This window comes from Homo sapiens, chromosome 12, assembly GCF_000001405.40.
Source record: "Homo sapiens chromosome 12, GRCh38.p14 Primary Assembly".
In the NCBI taxonomy this organism is placed as follows: Eukaryota; Metazoa; Chordata; class Mammalia; order Primates; family Hominidae; genus Homo; species Homo sapiens.
In genome coordinates, this window is record NC_000012.12 from 56,921,995 (window position 1) to 56,941,172 (window position 19,178).

At 48.2% G+C, this 19,178-nt stretch overlaps 1 protein-coding gene across 1 annotated transcript; it reads right to left on the reverse strand.

Moving 5' to 3' along the window:
• Window positions 1-1,138: 1,138 nt before the first annotated feature.
• SDR9C7 (short chain dehydrogenase/reductase family 9C member 7) lies at window positions 1,139-12,414 on the reverse strand. Its single transcript, NM_148897.3, has 4 exons — window positions 11,967-12,414; window positions 8,232-8,490; window positions 7,396-7,559; window positions 1,139-2,056 (listed from the first exon to the last, which is right to left on the reverse strand). Exons 1-4 carry the CDS (start codon window positions 12,265-12,267, stop codon window positions 1,839-1,841), a joined length of 942 nt encoding a protein of 313 aa, NP_683695.1. The 5' UTR covers window positions 12,268-12,414; the 3' UTR covers window positions 1,139-1,838.

The window sequence follows — 19,178 nt, forward strand, 5'->3', positions numbered from 1 at the left end:
TTGCCAGGGGTGGACAAGCCTAAACCAATTTGGGCCAATGAGATTCAAGGAGACACATGATGAGGGCTCTAAGAAAGAAACTTCTTCAATGTTGAATGCTGTGGAAAGGCAGGCTCTTTCTTCTTCTCTAAGTTGTGAATGAGGAAATGTAGAGTTCCCTTTGCCTGGCAGTCACACCACAGCAACAAAGGGTAAAGATAAAACTGTGGGCAGCGGAGCAAAGAAGTAGAAAGAGCCTACAGCCTCAATGCCATCATTCAGCCACTGGGCCCTGCCCTCACTCTTCATTGTCTAAGCCAGTGTGAGTTGGTTTTTCTGTTACTTGTTGAATGCATTCTATCTGATTTAGAATTTGGTGCCAGGAATAGAAGTGCTGCAAACAACAAACTGTAGTGAGTTGCACAGTAGCTCCCTAAAGATATATCTATAAGCTAACCCCTGGAACCCGTGAGTGTTACCTTATTTGGAGTCTTTGCAGATGTACCTGGATTATATTTTATTATTTTCAGATGTTGAAGAGACCCAAATTAAAGATATTTTAGTTAAAAAAATCACATTTGACCTTTATTACATGACCATTTATCAAGATAAAAAAAAAAGTCTCTTCCACAGAACTTCATATGACCCAGGAGTTTAAGTCTTTTTTTAAAAAAAATTAGTTCAATGACTTATTTGACAGTGTTACTAATTTGAGAAATTGATTTTCCTATAACTGAAAAATAATCCTGGTCTGGGAGTCTGAATGCCTCATTTCTATCCTTGTCTTAGTTACTAAACTGGGGGCTTGGGTAGGTCACTTCCCCCTCTGAGTGTTAAGTTACTTATTCTATGGAATTATTGGTGGCTCCAAGTTGCTCGGGTGCATCAGAATCATATAGGTCCTTGTTATAAACACATATTTCTGGACCTTATCTCAGTCCTACTGAATCAGATTTTCTAATATTGGCACAGGAGTCTGTATTTTTTAATTGACTGGGTGATACAAGGTACAGCCAAGCTTGTGAAGTATTGGATGAAGACCTCCAGGGTCCTTCATAGCTCTAAAAATTTGTATTCTGATTTCTATTCCTTCTATCGCTGTTTGTCCTAACTCAGCTACTAGATATTGTGCTAAAACAAAGCAAAGCAAAACACAAAATAAACAATAAAAAACCAAGACCATGATTTAATCATCTTTATATTCCCCCAGCACCTACAAAGTGCCCGGTAGGTAGTAGGCACTCAATAAATATTTGAAAAATTAATGGTGATTAAATAAATGAATGTTATTTCATGTGGATCCCAATAACCTATAGATAGAAGAATCTAAAAAGAAAGAAAATATTTTAAACTTTTGTCTGATTTAATCTTGCACTCCCTATCTGCCCTACCGCATACTTCAGTAATGGGTTATGTGAATGAAGTTATGCATATTGAGGGACCCATTAGGAAGGTGGTTAGATTCTCCTGGAGGCAAGATTATCCCACAGTATTTCTCAGTGGCAGTGATAACTGAAAGGGGCTCATGATTCCACAGGAGCTGGTTTTCTTCTCCATGACTTTTCCAGGACCAGAAAAAGCTGTATCCTGATTGGGTGACAGACGTCCTTGGAGCTATTGCTGCAGATCGCTGAACCTGCAAAGACCACCTCAGGTTTCTGTGGGGTCCCAGAGGGTGGGAAGAGGCATTCACCTTCTGTTAGAAGTTACTGGTAAATTCGACAGCAGTGGGTGTCAGCTGAGCCAAGCTTCCTTTGCAGCCAATGCCCCCAGGATAACCGATACCACCTTTTGTGACCCCACGGTCCTTCCTTCCTCCCCCACTTCTAGGCTCCACTGACCCATTGATCCTCCCCAGTTTAGACACTGTCCGCTGGCCTTGGAAGGTACCGGCTTAGGATGAAATCTGTCACAGGGGTGGGCAACTTAGCCAGAGGGATGTAGAGGAGTTTGGCATCCAGGCCAGGGTTGTAGCGGATGCGAGGGCTCCGGGAAACAATAGCATGCTCCATGCTGTTGATGACATCTCTGACTCTGGGCTCTGCCACCTGCATTATGTTTTTTAACTTGTCAGTATCTGTTTGAGGGCAGAGAGGGGAAAAAGGCTCTGTTATTCTTCATAAAAGATGGCTTCTTCCGAATTCCATCCAAGTTCCCTTTCCATCAGATCCCTGATCTAACATTTCAGGCAGGTCCGCCACACCCTCCAGGTGGTCCCTTATACAAACACACATTTATAAGACTATTATAAATAATCTTAGCCTGGCCAACATGGTGAAACCCCATCTCTACTAAAAATATAAAAATCAGCTGGGCTTGGTGGCACATGCCTGTAATCCCAGCTACTCGGGAGGCTGAGGTATGGGAACCACTTGAACCCAGGAGGCTGAGGTTTCAGTAAGCCGAGGTCACACCACTGCACTCCAGCCTGGGAAACAGAATGACACGCTGTCTCAAAATAAATAAATAAATAAATAAATAAACAAATAGTCTTATTTATCTTTCTGAATTCAACAATTGTGCATTGAAGTCCTACTATTGCATTAGACTGGTGATGAGAAGAACTGTGCACATTCTCCTTATAACTGTGCCGCTTATTAGTTATATGACTTTGAGCTTAAACTTTTATTGTCTATAAAATGGAGATAATACTATCTTTCCTAAAGTTTGGGCATAGTGGCTCAGGCCTGTAATCCCAGTACTTTGGGATGCCAAGCCAGGCCAATCACCTGAGGTCAGGAGTTTGAGACCAGCCTGGCCAACATGGTGACACCTTGTCTCTACTAAAAATACAAAAATTAGGTGAGCGTGGTGGCGCGTGCCTATAATCGCAGCTACTCAGGAGGCTGAGGCATGACAATCACTTGAACTCAGGAGTGGGAGGTTGCAGTGACCCAAGATCGCGCCACTGCATTCCAGCCTGGGCAACAGAGTGAGACTCCATCTCAAAAAATATCTGTCCTGGAGAATAACAAAGATGATTAACAGCAGGGTAGACACTGGGGGAGTACAGAAGAGCAAACATGATGGGAAAACAGCCCTTTTTTTTTTCTTCTATGTACTTCCTAGAGTTCCCACATTTAAACAAAAACATGCAGGAGAAAATATTATTTAAAAATAGTAATACTGCCCCTACCTCAGTCATAAGGCCACTGTCACTCAAATAATCTAAGGCATAGACAAGCACCTCGTGGGGCCCTCACAAATGTGAGGAGTTGTTCTGTTTGCATTGACCCACAGGGGTGGAGATGGGGACAGAGCACCCAAATAGTACAAGTCTGCCAAAGTTCATGACATAAATGGGAGAAGGGCCACACCACACACCCACCAGGCCCTCATCTGCATCCTCACCCCAGGACAGGGGGATTCATGCTTCATTGAGAGCCCTGAGGACTCCAGGGAAAATGATGCTTCAAAGTCAGACTGCCCTGATAAGGTATGAAAACTTGAAAATGGAGAGGAAGCCAAAGCTGCCCTGACTTTGAGAATGGTCCAGGCAGGCAAGGAATTCACCCGCTTGGGGCCAGGACCCTTGTGGGTGGTTGGTGAGAATGGGGCAGCATCACTTCAGTCCCCTTCACCCCAGACTCCGAGAAACTCCATTTTCTGTTTCCTGGAAAGAAAACTGATGCAGGGGAAAAGCCAAACTATATTTTGGGATCTCAACAAGAGCCACACTAACTCAAAGCCAGACTGTCCATAAAGCAGTAATGTCTTAGGAAGCCACACCCTGACCTCTGACCGTAGAGCTGGCACAGAGGCCACCAGCAGCAGGGCTGAGGGTCGAAGGAATCGTTCAGGATGCCCAGGAGGCTCTCTCTGCCCCCTCGGCGCCAGGGAAAGCTTTGTGGGCTGAGGATGTGGAGCAAGCTGACATGGTGAGATGGGCTGGGGACTGGGTTCTGAGAGGTGGGGAGGGCTTGCACAGGCAGTGGGGTGGGAGAAGTTACCCCAGACATGGGGAATGGTATGAGGCACTTGCTTTCATTGTTTTCTCAAATAGATATTAGCTGCCATTCAGTGCTGGGCACCCTGCTAGGCATGGAGTAGGATGGGAGACGGAAGGACCCATCCAGCTTTGTCACTCTCCTTCACAGTGAGGAAGGACATAGGCTTTGGAGCTGGGCACCTGGGAAAATGTTTTTGTTATTGGGAGAATTAAGCAGGACAAAATCTATAAAGTATCAGGCCTGGTCCTAGGGGTTACAAGCCAGGGGCCTGTTTGGTCAGTCACAGCAACTGGCTGAGTTTGTACCCAGCGATGCTCTAGGACTACTCCTAAATATCTCTTCTGTCTGTCACATAGCCACCCCCCACCACCAGAACCATCAGGACTTACAACTTCATGTCTTTATCGTTCCTTCACTGGGTTTCTGCAGTAGTCCCCCAGGTGGACTTTTTATCCTTCCCACGGTGACACAAATCTGATCCTTCATTTCAGAGCCATTTACAAGGCTCTCTAATGCCTTTAGGATAAGAGCCATGCTCCCTACTATAGCAATCAAAGCATTTCATGATCTGACTCCTAATCTCTCCCCTCCTCAATCATCACCCACAGCACTCCTGCCAGACTATAATGGCAATGGCAAAGGTTTGTTCAGCTCTTACTGTAGCAGAGCTGAGTACTTTGCATTTCTGTTTAATTCTCCTAACAATCCATGAGAGAGGAATTGTACTTTATAAATGGATAAACAAGTTTGGAGAGCTATACAACATGATTAGAGGGACTGCTGGAATACAAGCCTGAATCTGCACTGCCTCCAAAAGCATACAATGCTATGTCAGGTCACTAAAACGTTGCTCACACCCTTCCTCTTGTGTGAAACATCCGCCATCTCTTTCCCTTTTGGTGTACTCCTATTCATCCTTCAAAACTCACTAAGGCATTAACTGTCACCTCTGTAAGGCTTCTGTGACAGCAGAATGAAGTCTGCATTGCTGCTTTGTTTTGTATGCATGTCCATTATAGCAAGATTCTTCATGTGGTGGTGTATTTGCTTTCACATCTTCCCTGCTAGTTTCCTGGAGAGTGTCTCATCTCTGAATCCCAATAAACACTGGGCAACTGAAGCAAAAATTCTAGTATAACCACTTGGGAAAACGTTTATCTAAATGTAGTTGACCACTGCCTGAAAATTTTCCTCTGAAATTATGGTGTGGACTACAGGTGAATTGGCCTAAGATATTTTATAAACCCAATCCTTACTATTCTTTAGTACAATACTAGCTTTTGGACAAGGTTTTCGGAGGAGTTTGCCTTTATACATATTCTTTCATGGACCACACTAAAGATGCTACAAGCTCTCTTCACCCTGAGTGCTTACTTAGAAAATGACTTTGTGAGGTTTCCAGACACTGGCTGAACCCATTTCACCCCAGCCTCCAAGCAGCTCCACAAATAATTTGAACTACTCTTTGCTAAGAATGATCACACAGAGGATAAATATTCTTCCCCACACATGCTAACATCTTCTCTCCTTGTTCCCAACAGCTGCAGATTTCCCTCTGGGGACCTATGCCTCCCCCACACTGTGTCCATTGGTCTGGGCAGAGCACACAGCCCAGCCTGAGCCAATCACACCTTCACATTCCCCTGGGCGCAGTGATTGGTTTAGGGTTGGGTGCATCTTGTGGTCCCCCATGACGCGGTCACCATAAGGTCCTCCAAGTCGGAGTGTACATTAGGACTTTTGGGAGAGGTACTGGAAATAACTCTCCTATTTTCCCAGCAGACCTCACCCTAGGTGGAGGTGAAGAGAGGCTGCAGCAATGTGGCTCCCACAGGGGAGAGAGCTTAGAGACTGGAGTCAGTGCAAAAGAAGCAGAGCCAAGAAATGGGTGGAACCAGGTCCTAGCAACATCATTTGCAGTCTGGGTCAGGTTGTACCTGAAGCTTATCTTGCTCAACTTTTTAGTCAGGTGAGGCAAGAAATTCCTTTTCTGCTTAAATAATTTGCATTGGATCTTCTGTCACTGAGTAAGTCCCAACTAGTGTAAATCCTTAGACATTTTCTTCTCACAGAATCCTAACATGTCTAGCACTAAAAGATGAATTTATCTAAGGAGTACTCCAAACATTTTTCCCTGAGACTTCCCTAAATCAATGAATGAAGACACCTCCATTCACCATGTTCTTCAAGCTGTAAAGCTAACACTCACCCTTGATAGCTTCCTCTCCCTCACCCCTTAATCCTCAGTGTGCTTTGATGCTCTAATTTATTCCGTATACCCCAGCTACCTCCCATTGCTTCCCACCTGCTGGTTTCTTTAAAGTTCCTCAAATGGAGTTTTCTGCCTCAGAGCCTTCCTGCAGAAAAAAAGTCCCTACGCATCCCCTCTTTCCCCTTCCCAGCAACACCTAACTCTTATTCCTCCTCAAAGTCAACTCAGAAGCTCTCCCCTTCACCATAGTCTGAATTGGGACCGCAACTTCCTGCTCCATTCTTCTTTCACAACCCTGTTTCTCCTCTGTAGCACTTATCCACATCTACCATAAACACATGTGTTTTGATTTATGTTTGTCTCCCCTACTGGGCCATAAGCTACAGGCAGTGAAGGGCAGGCATACTGCTGTGTCCGCTCCAGCTCTCCAGCCCCACACAGGCTTGGGACATGGCAGCCTTGCATGCTTTGTATTACTGATTCAAAACAAAAACAAAAAACAAAAATGCAATAAAGTGTGTATGTATTAAGTGAAAAAAATGGCTGACTTGGCTTTGTGCTCTGTTGACGTACGACATCCAGCAGACAACTTTCGTGGCAGAAAGTTTTGGGGCAGCAGGGTAAACAGCTGCCGTGTCCCACCTCTACCCTCCAAAAACACCTATGATTCACAGGAGACCCTCAGCTCAGGGAAAGAAAGAGAGTTGCCTAGAGACCCTCCCTTTTAAATCCCCATGTGCTCATTTTCTTCTTTATTAACAAGCACTCAGAATGTGCAAAGTACTTCACACATACTAACCCTCATAACAACCCCATGAGGGAGGCACTATCTTTAGCTCCATTTTGTAAATAAGAAAACTGAGGCATGGGAAAACTAGGTAATAGGTCCAAAGTCTCCTAGCTGGTAAGTAGTAGAGCCAGGATTTGAACCCAGGCAGTCCGGCTCCAGCAGCCATGCCCTTGATCTCTTTGCTGTATTTATCTCAGTGCATTTTCACCTGATTCCCCTGCATCATGATGCTGTGGGGGCAGGTGCCAGGAGTGGGCTGAATTGCCCTTAACTCCCCGGGCTGCTCCAGAAGTGATGATTCTGCCACTTGCTCTCTATTCTCAAACCCCAGCTGTGCCACTATGTGACCTTGGGTCCTGAACTCCTCTGCATTTTGTCTCACCATCTGTAAACGGAAAGCCAGCTAATGACCCCAAGACCCACTCGCCCCCCTCAGAGACCCCTCTCCTGCCCCAGGAACTTACAGATGCGGAAATAATCCTCTCCGTAGCTGTCCCGGGTCTCCTGAGGCAGCCTCTCCCAAAGCTTTCGCATGCGTGACTCCAGGTTCTCCTTGCCGAGAATGGCTGTCCGATAGTTCCCTGGCTCAATGATGCAGACTTTCACCCCAAAGTAGTAGAGCTCACGCCTGGGAAAGAAGAGTTGCAGTCAGTCTGGGCCCCAAGATGACAATCATCACGGAGAGTCACCTCTGGATGGGCTGGTCTTTCAGGAACCTAGAGATGCTTCTCTCACCCCTGTACTTGGCCCTGGCATTGCCTTTGTGCAAATAAGCCCTTCCTTAGGGACTCAGCCCTTTCCAAAACTGGCCCAACAGTCTCTGGGCAATTTGCATTAGGCACAACCAGCGGGAAGAAGTCAATAGAGAATCTAGGCCAAAGCCTTGCCTCCCACCAGGTCCCTCCCATTAGCAACCCCTCACTCAACACCCACACGGTGAATGGTGTGGATATACACAAGGCCTGCACGCTCCTCTAAGGACCTCCCAGAGGGGACCTGTGCCTCCAGGCCTGTCTGTCTGTTTGGGGGACTCTCCCTCCTCTCACAGGCCCAAACAGGGTTTCACTCACCCTGGTGCCGCTCAAGGGAAGGCCCACCTGATGCCTTGTATTTCCACCCTACCTCTTCTCCTCATCCCTGCTCTTGGTCCTTGGAGAAAGCACCTTGAGGTCTAACCTTCCTTCTGCTATTGTGTTAGCTTCCTGTCTGCGGAATTCCCCTGCCCACATGCTGTCACTCCCAACCCTCTCTAATCTCTGGGATTTTCACCCAGAATTGTTCAGTACCAGGGCCCAGTTACCTTATGCTGTCAGAGAAGGCCTCAACGCCAAACTTGGAGACGCAGTAGCCACCACCAATGACAGCCACACGACCACCAGAGCTGGACATGTTGACAACCCTGCCCCGGGCTCTCTTGACCATGGGCAGCATGTGAAGGGTCACTTCGATCAGTCCCACCAGGTTCACATTAATCACCTTCACAAAGTCATCCTTGGTCAGCCATTCGTTGGGACCACTGGGCAGGCCCACACCAGCATTGTTCACCAGGGCCCAGAGGCCTGGGGGTGAGATGAACCACACAGAAATCATCAGTGGGCCTGGGAAAGAACCAAGTTCTGCTCCCCACCGGCTCAGTGCCCTCAAGGATGGTTGAGCAGGTGCACAAGACATAACTCGGTCAGGCTATAACATAAAAGGAAGGTGTGTCTTTTACTAACTCGTTTTCCCTGAAGGGACACTTTTTCCTGATTCACATAAAGTCTGCCGGCTAGCTGGCGCTCTGTACTAGCTACAATCGAGGTGTTAGGTGACAGCATTTCAGCTATCAGCTTTGGGATAAGAGTTTCATTTTCATACCAATGAATTAATGTTTAGATCCCTTCCCCATCATACTTCTCCCTCTCTATTCACTTAAGTATAACCAACTGCATTTCACATACTACCAAAATCAATCCATTCATTCATTCATCTTCACACATTTATTCATGCATTTATCTAGTCTGTGACAATTACAGGGTGAAGGAGGCCAGGTGCAGTGACTCACACTTGTAATCACAACCCTTTGAGAGGCTGAGGTGGGAGGATCACTTGAGGCCAGGAGTTTGAGACCAGCCTGAGCAACAGAGTAAGACCCCTGTCTCTACAAAAAAAGAAAAAAAATTAGTCAGGCGTGGTGGTATGTGCCTGTAGTTCTAGCTACTTGGGAGGCTGAGGTGGGAGAATCACTTGAGCCCGGGTTACAGGTTACCTTGTTCGAGGTTACAGTGAGCTATAATGGTGCCATTGCACTCCAGCCTGGGTGACAGAGTGAGACTCTGTCTCTAAAAATAAAATGAAATAAAACGATATAAAATAAAATAAAGTAAAATACAGGGCAAAGGAGACATAAAATGAACAACACAGCATCTTATCCCTCAAGGAACTCACAAGCCTAGAAGGAAATAATAATATTTATAAATAAATATATAAAATATTTAAATAAAATAATTATGGAAAATGTGATGAGGACTATCCTTGAGATATTTCAATTAGGTTGGTACAAATGGAAAGAAATAATGCTAAGTGTTGTCATTCAACTCTGCAGGGGCCCAGGGTTGAAGAGCTTCAGGTCCAGTCCTGGTTTTACCTCCAGCCTTGAACAAGTCACTTCCCTCTCTGGGCCTCAGGCTCTTCATCAGATTAGACTAAAACAGTTGTTTCCAGGCTGTATTTTGCAAGCCTTCTAGGGGGAGGAAAATGCAGGAGAAGCTCTCCTTTCATTTGTTTTACATATTGGGGTTCTACTGTAAACCCCTCTAAACACTCCTCAAGGACCCCTTCCAGCTCCTTCATGCAAGGATTCCCCAAGTCCTACTGCCTGGTGATTCGCACCACAGCCCCAGCCTCAGCAGCCCCAAGATACTCTGCAGGCGCATCCCACTGTCTCCTGAGGGCAGGTCTCAACACAAACATAAATCCTAGTCCACCCCTCCCTCTAGGGCTGGGGTCCCCACCCAAGCCATGCCCCTACCCAGTCTCCCTGCCTTTCTCCATTCAGGAGCAATGAGAAAGCATGAAAGAACTTCCTCTCCCATCCCCCTACCCACCCCAGTTCCCAGTGTTTCTTAGACCAGGATATTGCCAAGTGGCTTAGGCAAAATAATGGTCCCCCAAAGATGTCCCCATCCTCATTATCTCTGGAACCTGTGAATCTGCTGGATTACATGGGAAAGGGGAATTAAGGTTGCAGGTGGAATGGAGGTTGCTAATTAATTGTCCTTAAAGTTAGGGAGGAAGCTAACACGGGAAATTATCCTGGATTAACCTGGTGAGCCCAATATAATCACAAGTCCTAAGTGGAAAGAGGCAGAAACCGGAGAATCAGAGAGCTTGAGAAAAGTGTGAAAAAGACTGGGCCCAACCTTGCGGGCCTTGAAGATGGAGGTAGCAGGCCAGGAGCCAGGGGATGCCAGCTGCCTCTGGAAGCTGGAAAAGTCGATGAGACGGATTCTCCTCTACAGCCTCTAGAAGGAACACAGCTCTGCTGACTTTGATTTTAGATCAGTGAGGCCTATTTTAGACATTACTCCTCCACAACTACAAGATAATATGTTTGTATTGTCTTCAGACCCCACAGTTGTGTTATTTGTTACAATAGCAACAGGAAACTCACATGCTAAGTGAGGTATTAAGGCAAGTGGCTCAAGGCTGAATGTAGGGAACTGGCTGAGACAGCCTGCTGAAGACAGAGGCTCACTCTTGCTGAATTATTAATTAATTAGCTCACTCAAATCTATTTATTCAGTACCTTACTAGGTGCCAGACATTATTCTAGGTACTAAGGATGTACAGTAAATAAAAGGGACAAAAATCCTTGTCCCCAGGAAGCTTTATTCTAGCAGAGGAAACAGACAATAAATAAGTAAAATCTATTGTACATTGACTAGTGATAAGTGCTAAGGAGAAGAATCAAGCAGGGAGTTACTGTCTAGATCCCCCTGGCTCCAGGGCTCTGTTGCCCTGACCTGCGCATGGGCTCCAGACTAGTTCCTTTAGGAGGGAGGACTTCCTCTAGTCTGCTGCTTCTGCAACTCAGCCATCCTGTTCCTCCTGTTCCTGGGCCCACACCCTGTGTGCTGGAAGTGCATGAGGCAGGTCCCCACACAGTCCTGGGCCAGCCCCAGTCCACAGCTTCCTTTCCCAATAGGAGCAGCCACTGTGACATACATACTTGCCCTGAAGTCAAATCAACACCCACCATGATGTCAAGAAGAGACCAGATCTCTTTCTCCCCTGCCTGACATAGTCAAGGAGACAAACTGCACCCACTCATGGGATCCAGCCTCCTGTCTCATTCCCCCTCCCCCATCCTGATCCCAACAAGAAATGTGTTTGTATTTCCCCAGGAGCTGATGGTTAGGACTGCTGAAACATCAGAGAGGCACATCCTTTTTTTTTCTTTTTTTTCTTTTTGAGAGGGATTCTTGCTCTGTCACGAGGCTGGAGTGCAGTGGCGCAATCTTGGCTCACTGCAACCTCCGCCTCCCGGGTTCAAGTGATTCTCCTGCCTCAGCCTCCTGAGTAGCTGGGACTACAGGCACGTGCCACCACACCCAGGTAATTTTTATACTTTTTAGTAGAGATGGGGTTTCACCATGTTGGCCGGGATGGTCTCGATCTCTTGACCTCATGATCCTCCCACTTCGGCCTTCCAAAGTGCTGGGCTCATAGGCGTGAGCCACCACGCCCAGCCAGGCACGTCCATTTTTAGAGGTTTGGACACACAGAACACATCTTCCCCCCTCGCTTCCTATTGAGACCTCTTTCCCGTTTCTCTGAGTTTCCAGGACAGAAAACTTCCTTGGGAAATCACCCCTTCATGTGAACAGGCCAAACCATGCAGTGGCTTCCAATCAGATTGAGGCAGGGGCCTTTCCCTACATCACCCCTCCCACCCAATCTGGACATCAGGGTCTCTGATACTGTCAGATGCTTCGGGAGAGAGGAAGAGGAAGAAGGAGAAACCAAGAAAGCCAAAGAATGTAATTCGCCCCACCTTGTTCGCCCACTTTGTCCCTCACCCACTGGGCCGCCGCCTTGATGCTTTCGCTCTTGGTGACATCCAGTAGGGTGGTCTGCAGCCGATAGGAGGTATCCCGCTGAAGTTTCTGGGATCCCTCCTCAGTGAAGCAAGCAGCCAGCACCTGCATGCCCCGATCAACCAGCTGTTTGGCCAGCAGGTTCCCGAAGCCAGAGTCACAGCCTGTGATGAAGACGTACTTCTCTGAGAGGTTGCCAACCAGATTGCAGTTCTTGAACCAGCGATACATAAATGAGAGGTCTGTGAGGGCCGCCATAGGGCAAGGGGAATGTGATGGCCAAGAGGGACTGGGCTCAGGAGACAGCAGGGAAGAAGCTGGTCCTCTGAGCCCTAGCAGGCAGTCTGCAGGAAACCACCTGGAAGAAGAACTCTCCTTCCTCCCACAGCTTGCAACAAATCTAGGTCCCTGGGTGAGCCACGCTGTAATTTTTATAGGTGGATGCATCACCACAGCAATTAGCCCAGATGCAAGAAATTCAAGTCCAACCTGAAGCCTTGTCACCTCTGACAGCCCTGGTAGCTGCCTCCCTCTCTCCCCCTGCCCTGATGGGTAAAGCTGCCAAGAATTGGAAATAATCCACTTGTAATGTTGGTGATGAGTGGTGGCTCACCCAGGCGGTGTAAGGCAGGCAAATGAAAGATGAGGACTCACCCCAGACAGCTCCCCTAGAAATCCTGTCCCCACCCTGCCCCCAACCCAGCCTGGGGATTTTGGTCTCCAGGGATCAAAATCATTTGTCGTGAGTGCAGGTATGTAAATAAGTTTATTTTCAGGGAAAATACTCAAGACAAATTTATTAATGTAAAACAAACAACATTGGTTCTGTACCTTCCAAACCCCAAGAGAAACAAGTCGCAGGTCATCAGCTCTCTGGAATTCTTAGGTAAGTCTCCATCATGAGAGAGGATGAAAAGCAATGGATTTCTCCTAGGGTGGATGTACCTCCATTGTCCTGAGGCTAGAGGCAGCAGGGCCCTCCTATAGGGGAGGCTGGCATGTGAAGCTTAGCCACCAGAAAGCAGAAAGACCTGGGGGACTCAGGCCTGACACCCTGTGGGGGTCATACTCAGGTCACCAGTAAGCAGCCCTGGGCAAGATGATGAGGAGGGATCATGAGTTCACTGGGCAGCTGAGGGAATTGTCTGGGCAGAGGCCTTGACTGTAAGAGGGGATGAGATATAGGAGGAGCAGAGAACTGGGGCCAGAGACATAGAAAATTCTCAGGGTCGGGACTTGGAGGAGAAACAGAGATTCTAGGCAATTTAGCAAATAATTTACAGAAAGCTAAGAGGTAAGGTGGTAAAGGAAAGGAAATAAGGAAACCAGAGGTGTGAGTAGTGAGGGGCCACACCCAGAATTGCATAAGATGCAGGGAATGATGCTGGAGCCTCTGTGGTTCTTTGGATCAACATCTAGGGTCACCATTCCTTGGGATGAGCCTGGTCCTAGCTCACACCTTCATGGCTTAGCGAGTCTGACACAGAAATGGGACCACAAAGTTCTCTAGTGTGAAGGGACAAAGGATGTATCTCTGTGATCCACCATTTGCCAAGTCTGACCAGCGTGGAATCACATAAAGCAGGTGTCACCCTGGGAAAGCCCCGCAGGGTTTGGCCGTTCCTTAACAAAGTAGGGGAGGGGGCCAGATTATGAACCCACCCCCAAAGAGCAGACCTAAAGCTTATAGGGGATGGAGGTGGGAAATGGTAGAAAGCAAACCACACCTACTTCATAACCAACCTGAGGCAGAGCACCTCCTATGCGGGATCTGGGAACAATCTCCCAGTCTCTGTCTGCCTCCTGGGTGAATGAACAGAGAAGTCTTGGCTGAAACAGGTCAGACCATGTCACTCAAGACTGAGCAGGTCCGGGGCATTGGGTATCCCAGTCCTTGAGGACACAGGTGAGGTCCAGGAGTTGGGTCTGACTTAGCATAAGGATAACTCAGAACTGCCCCAGCACAGGCCTGGGCCTGACTCAGCACCTCCTGGGCCTCTATGCTGGCAGTGTTCCCCTGGCCTCAAACTAAACACACAGTCCATGAGGGTGGGGGGTGTGAGGGAGGTAGGACCACATAGAAGGCTCTTCTTCCCAGGGCTAGAAATGCCTCCCTCTCTCAGATGACAGCATTCCTTGCCAAGCTGGCCCCTAAGGTCTGATAGGTCAGGTTGGTAGCTGCACTCCCCATCCCCACCCCATGCACACAGGTATCTCAGAGGAGAGGAGCCCTCTCCTCTGCCAGGCCATTTCCCTCCAGTGGGAGAGCATAGACTGCTGAGGTCCAAGACACACCCTGATGAGGTAGACAGGAGGAAGAGCAGGTGTGGGCTCACCCACCCCCAGTTGCTCAAGACCTTCCACAAGTGTGGATTCTTCAGGTTGACAGGTGGGCCATGAAGCTCAGAGCCCAAGGAAGTGGGATGCCATTATCTGTGATTGGGTCTCCCTTCCTAAGCAGCAAAATGTGGTTCTTTCCTCCTAATATCACCAGAGTCCTGAATAACGTCCCAGAAAAAAACTAGAACAGAGGTGAGGGAAGTGAGGTACATGACCCTGAACTTGAGAGCTCCCTCCCACCACTCTATTTCTCACCCCATGAAACAGCACCCCTCCCAAGTGCAATGATGTTAAAGTGAGGGCCGGTCACTGAGTGCTACAAAGAGGTCGCTACAAAGTGCTACAAAGAGGCCTGCCAGTGCCTTTGTGACATGTCATTGCTTCCTTGTCCCTCTGTGCACTCCTGTGACCCCAGGCTACTTGATTCACTCCTGGAAAGGAAACAATTGCCCCTCACCTTGGTGGCAGAAAGGGCTGAGACAGGGCAGGGATAATCCAACTTCTCTCTTCAATTTCCTCCTGAGTTCATCCCTCTTATCCCCAGATCCCCATGAAGGCACCTGCCTCCTCCTCCCTCTTGTTCACAGCCCATGCTCCCCTCAGACTAGAAGGCAACTTGCTGCACATGGCTGCACTTTTTAGCTTTTGCTCTAGAACTAAAGTAACCAGATGGTTTTTTGAGGGTCATGGTTTCAAGAGGGTCAAACATTGGTTCCTGTGTCCTCTGTCCGAATCCCTATTGAGAACACCACTGCCAGCCAATGGTTTTAAGAGGGTCAAACATTGGTTCCTGTGTCCTCTGTCAGAATCCCTATCGAGAACACCACTGCCAGCCAATGCCCCCAGAGCTGGCACCTGAGGTCTAGGGGTCAGGCTGATGGCTGCCCTGTCGCCCCACACCTTATCCACAGGTATATTCAGAGGAGCCCCCATCCACTTCCTCCAGGCCATTTCCATCATGGAGAGAGTGTAATAGACTGGCCAGGTTGATGCACACCTGGGGAAGAAGCAGGAGGCAGAGAAGGTGTGGGCTGTGGATCCTTCCCCTCCTCACACGCTCCCATTGTGTAGACTCCTCAGAATTGGCCAAGAGACTCAAAGGCAACAGGACACCTATGAGCGTTACTGGGTCCCAATCTTTAGAAGAACACCTTGGTTCTTTCCTCCTATGTTGCCAGTCCTGAGTGATATCTCAGTGGAATTCTGTGGAGGGCATGAGGAAGAAGCTGGGATAGGCATCCAAATGGCAAGAGTGCTCCCTCCCACCACACCATTACTCTCCCCAAGACACATCACCTCACCCAGATCACCCAGCTCCACCCAACCATGCACCCCAGTCTTGGATTCACAGGGGCTTAGCCAGCCTTGGAGAGCCCCAGTTGAGCGTGACGTCCATAGGAAGGTAGGCATGTCGCTCATGGGGAGGTAGAGAAGATTGGTGTCTCAGCCAGCTGAGTAGTGAGCGCTCCATGCAGTGGGTCAACAAGGATAGATTCGTACTGCATTTTGCCCAAAGCCTTCTAGATGCTTTTCTGATGCATGTTAAGGATGAGGAAAGATCCTTAAAGTACTAGCACATCCCTTCCCTCCCATTTAGAGCTCTGAATTAGGAGGACAGTGTCTAAGAATTCCAGGCCCCCCAAATGATATGCCTCAAGTCTAATCCATCCATATTCCCCAGAGAGTGCCCCAACCTTCACCCAAGGAACATCCGTTTCACTCTAAGCCCCCTCTGCCTCTCTTTTTGAGATATCTGGACTCATAAATGGAAGGTCTCTACTAACAGCCTAAGAATATGAAAATCAGCTATCTCTAAACCCAGCTGCCCATGAGCCCACTGGTAGCCACTGTCTCTGACTTTAGTTTCCTCTTCAAAATAATGAGGGATTCAGATGAGGCAGTGGTCCCAATTATAGAAAGCTTGGATGCTTCCTTTAGGTGAACAGTTGACCACATGGCACCCTGGGAATGGGGATAAATGTCCTCACTTTTTTGGGGAGGCAGAGTTTGGAGGACAGATTCTCATACTGTTGGAGGCACTAATGATGGACCCAGACTTCTAGACAAGGATTTCTTTATCTCCCCACTGTCCACAGCTCACTCACGGGATATCAGAAACTTCTCCCCATACGTCTCCTTGACCTCGGGGCTGGCCTAGTCCGACAGCTCCTTGAGGTTCTGTAAATGCCTCTCAGAGCCGGCCATACTGGTCCTGAAGTGACCAGGTTCAATCACAGACACCTTCACTCCAAAGTGGGAGAGCTCCCTCCTGCATGGCAGACATGCAGAAGGGCAAGGACTTAAGAAATTTTGGGAGGCAAAATACAAAAAACAAAGAAACCCAATACAAACCCAGCATGCAACGACAGTGGGAGATGCAAGAAAGCTTGGAGAGTTGGGAAGGGCAGCAGATAGCAGATAAAAGTTATGATGGTGGCCTTGCCTCTCTCTGGGGTTTCCATATTTTACATACCAAAGCTTACTAGCCCTAAGTCCTACCAATTCAAGAGCAAGGCAGCATCTCAGTGCTATCACCTCCTATGCCCCTCACATCCAATGGATCACCAGAATTCCCACATTCTACCTCCTCTGCAGTCCTCAGTCCCCTCCCTTCTTCTCCTGCCCCAGGAATCTCCCTGGCCTCTGAGCTGGGTGATGGCAGCTGTCCTCTAAGGAGCGTCCCTCTGCCTTCAGTCTGGCTCCCCACACTCACAGCCACTGGGCTCCCTGCAGTAAGTGGGTGTCTAGAAGCCGATTAGACCAAAGAGCTCCCCTGAGCAAATCCCTTCTTTGGGGGTTCCACTGCCAACAGCATGAGGCACAGCTCCTGTCCAGGGCCTCCACGAGCCCATATGAACCCACCTGCCCAGCCTCCTCCACAGGCCTGGCCCTGTGCTTCACCTCATGAGGACCCCACAGCACAGGCAGGCAGCTGAGGCTCCCCCTAGGTCTGGGCTGAAGACAAAAGTCATTCCCCCATTTCTGTTCAAGGCTGCCAGGTGGGGATCCTCAATCTCCAGCTCAGATCCCACTGCCAGGACCCTCCCCAGCTTAGGAGGCTGCCATGGCCACCAGGGCTGACTGGGTCACAACCCCTATGAGAACTGGCAACAATGGTTCTGGCTCTCTTGCTCCTCTCTCAGGTGTCAGAGCTTTTAGGTCAGGGCCAAAACCCTGTTGTTGTCCTAGGCTGAGTTTATTGGGTACTCTTCCAAGGGCCACAAGAGTATATTGTATGGACTCAGATGCTCTCCCCATGCCTCCAGGACCCAACAAATATCTCTCCAAGGGAGAGAGACAGAGACAGGAAAACAGGAAGACAGGAATGGGGTAAGACAGAGAAACCAAGGGGAAAGGACAGAAGAGAAAGGAAAATGGAAGGAAAGAATAAGAAAAACACATAAATAATTGCTTTCTGCATCCTGGTTAAGAGAGATACACTTAAATCCTAAGACTGGGGGAAGTTAGAGAGCAGGCCTGCACTGGGCATCAGGGGACAAGCTGTGCTACAACCTGCATCAATGTCAAGGCAATATCTGTCCTGGAAGAAAAGGTCACCTTGTGTACCTGGGAGTCCCAAAGCTCACTGTGGACTGAATGGCCAGAGCAGGAGGGGAGGAAGGAAAGAGGTCTCATGCCACACAGGTGTCCAGACTGCACTCTCTGCCCCAGGAAGTACCACCTTTTCCTCCCACCATCTCATAAGGCCACCTCTGCCCTATCCCCATAGGGTCCAGCAAGCTTTGGGGAAGACTCTACAGAAGACATAGGGGAGCAAACTAATAGCATGAAAGATCTGGAGCAGTCAGAGCTACAGAACTACGGACTCCAGGCCAGCAGGGGCAGGGGTGTGAGTGGGTGAGGGCTGGGGGGTACAGGAGACGGAGACTGACCCTAGGAATATTGGAAAAACAATAAGGCCTGCAATGGTGGCCCTTCCCCTACTCAGAAACCTTTCCTGGACTTGAAGGAATGAGGATTCTTTGATTCAATAGTTGTACTTTTCTTGAATAGCACTGCTAAGCCTGTCAACAAACCTTGGTAGAGAATCGCTACTGAGATGTTATTTATGCCAGGAAAAGTGGGTAACAAACTTCGGCATTCAACAATATAGAATCCCTTTAACAAATTATGGCCTCTCCACATGCTGGAATATGGAGACCTTGATTGTTATGTTGGGGAAGAAACTTGATGATGAAAATGCTGACCCCAGAATGTGTAAAGTAGAGGGAAATTAACCCTGGAGGCTGGGATTAGGGGGAATGTTGTTTCACTCTCATCCTCTTCTATGATTTCTCCAATGAGAAATCCTATCTTATCCTCCTATCTATCCAATCTTATCCTCTTCTATAATTTCTTCATGTTTTCCATTTACAATCAGAACAAAGCAATCAATGATCTCCCTTTCCCCAAAAGGAACAGGATTCATCACTCGGTGTTTGATGTGAAGTCCCTTCAGCTCTCCAAGCCCCAGTGTCCTCGTGAATCAAGCGGAGATCATCTTAAAGCCCTCAACAGGGACAAGTGTGAAGGAACCAGTAAGAGAATGCTGAGATCAGAAGCCTGGATCCTGCCCAGCCCCATCCCCGATGGTCTCATGCCAACCGTCAGGACCCAACGTTATCCAGAGACTGGGCTCTAACCACAGCCTGGACTCCTCTAACCCTGGGCCCAGCCACAACCACTCTAGGACTTCTGCTTTGGAAAGCAGAAAGCTCAAGCCCCCGAAAATAAAAGTCCTGGAAATGTTCCCAGTTAGCAGACACTAGGTCTCCCCTAGTGACACAGAGAGAAGAGAAACAAACAGGCACTAGGAGGGATTGAGGTGG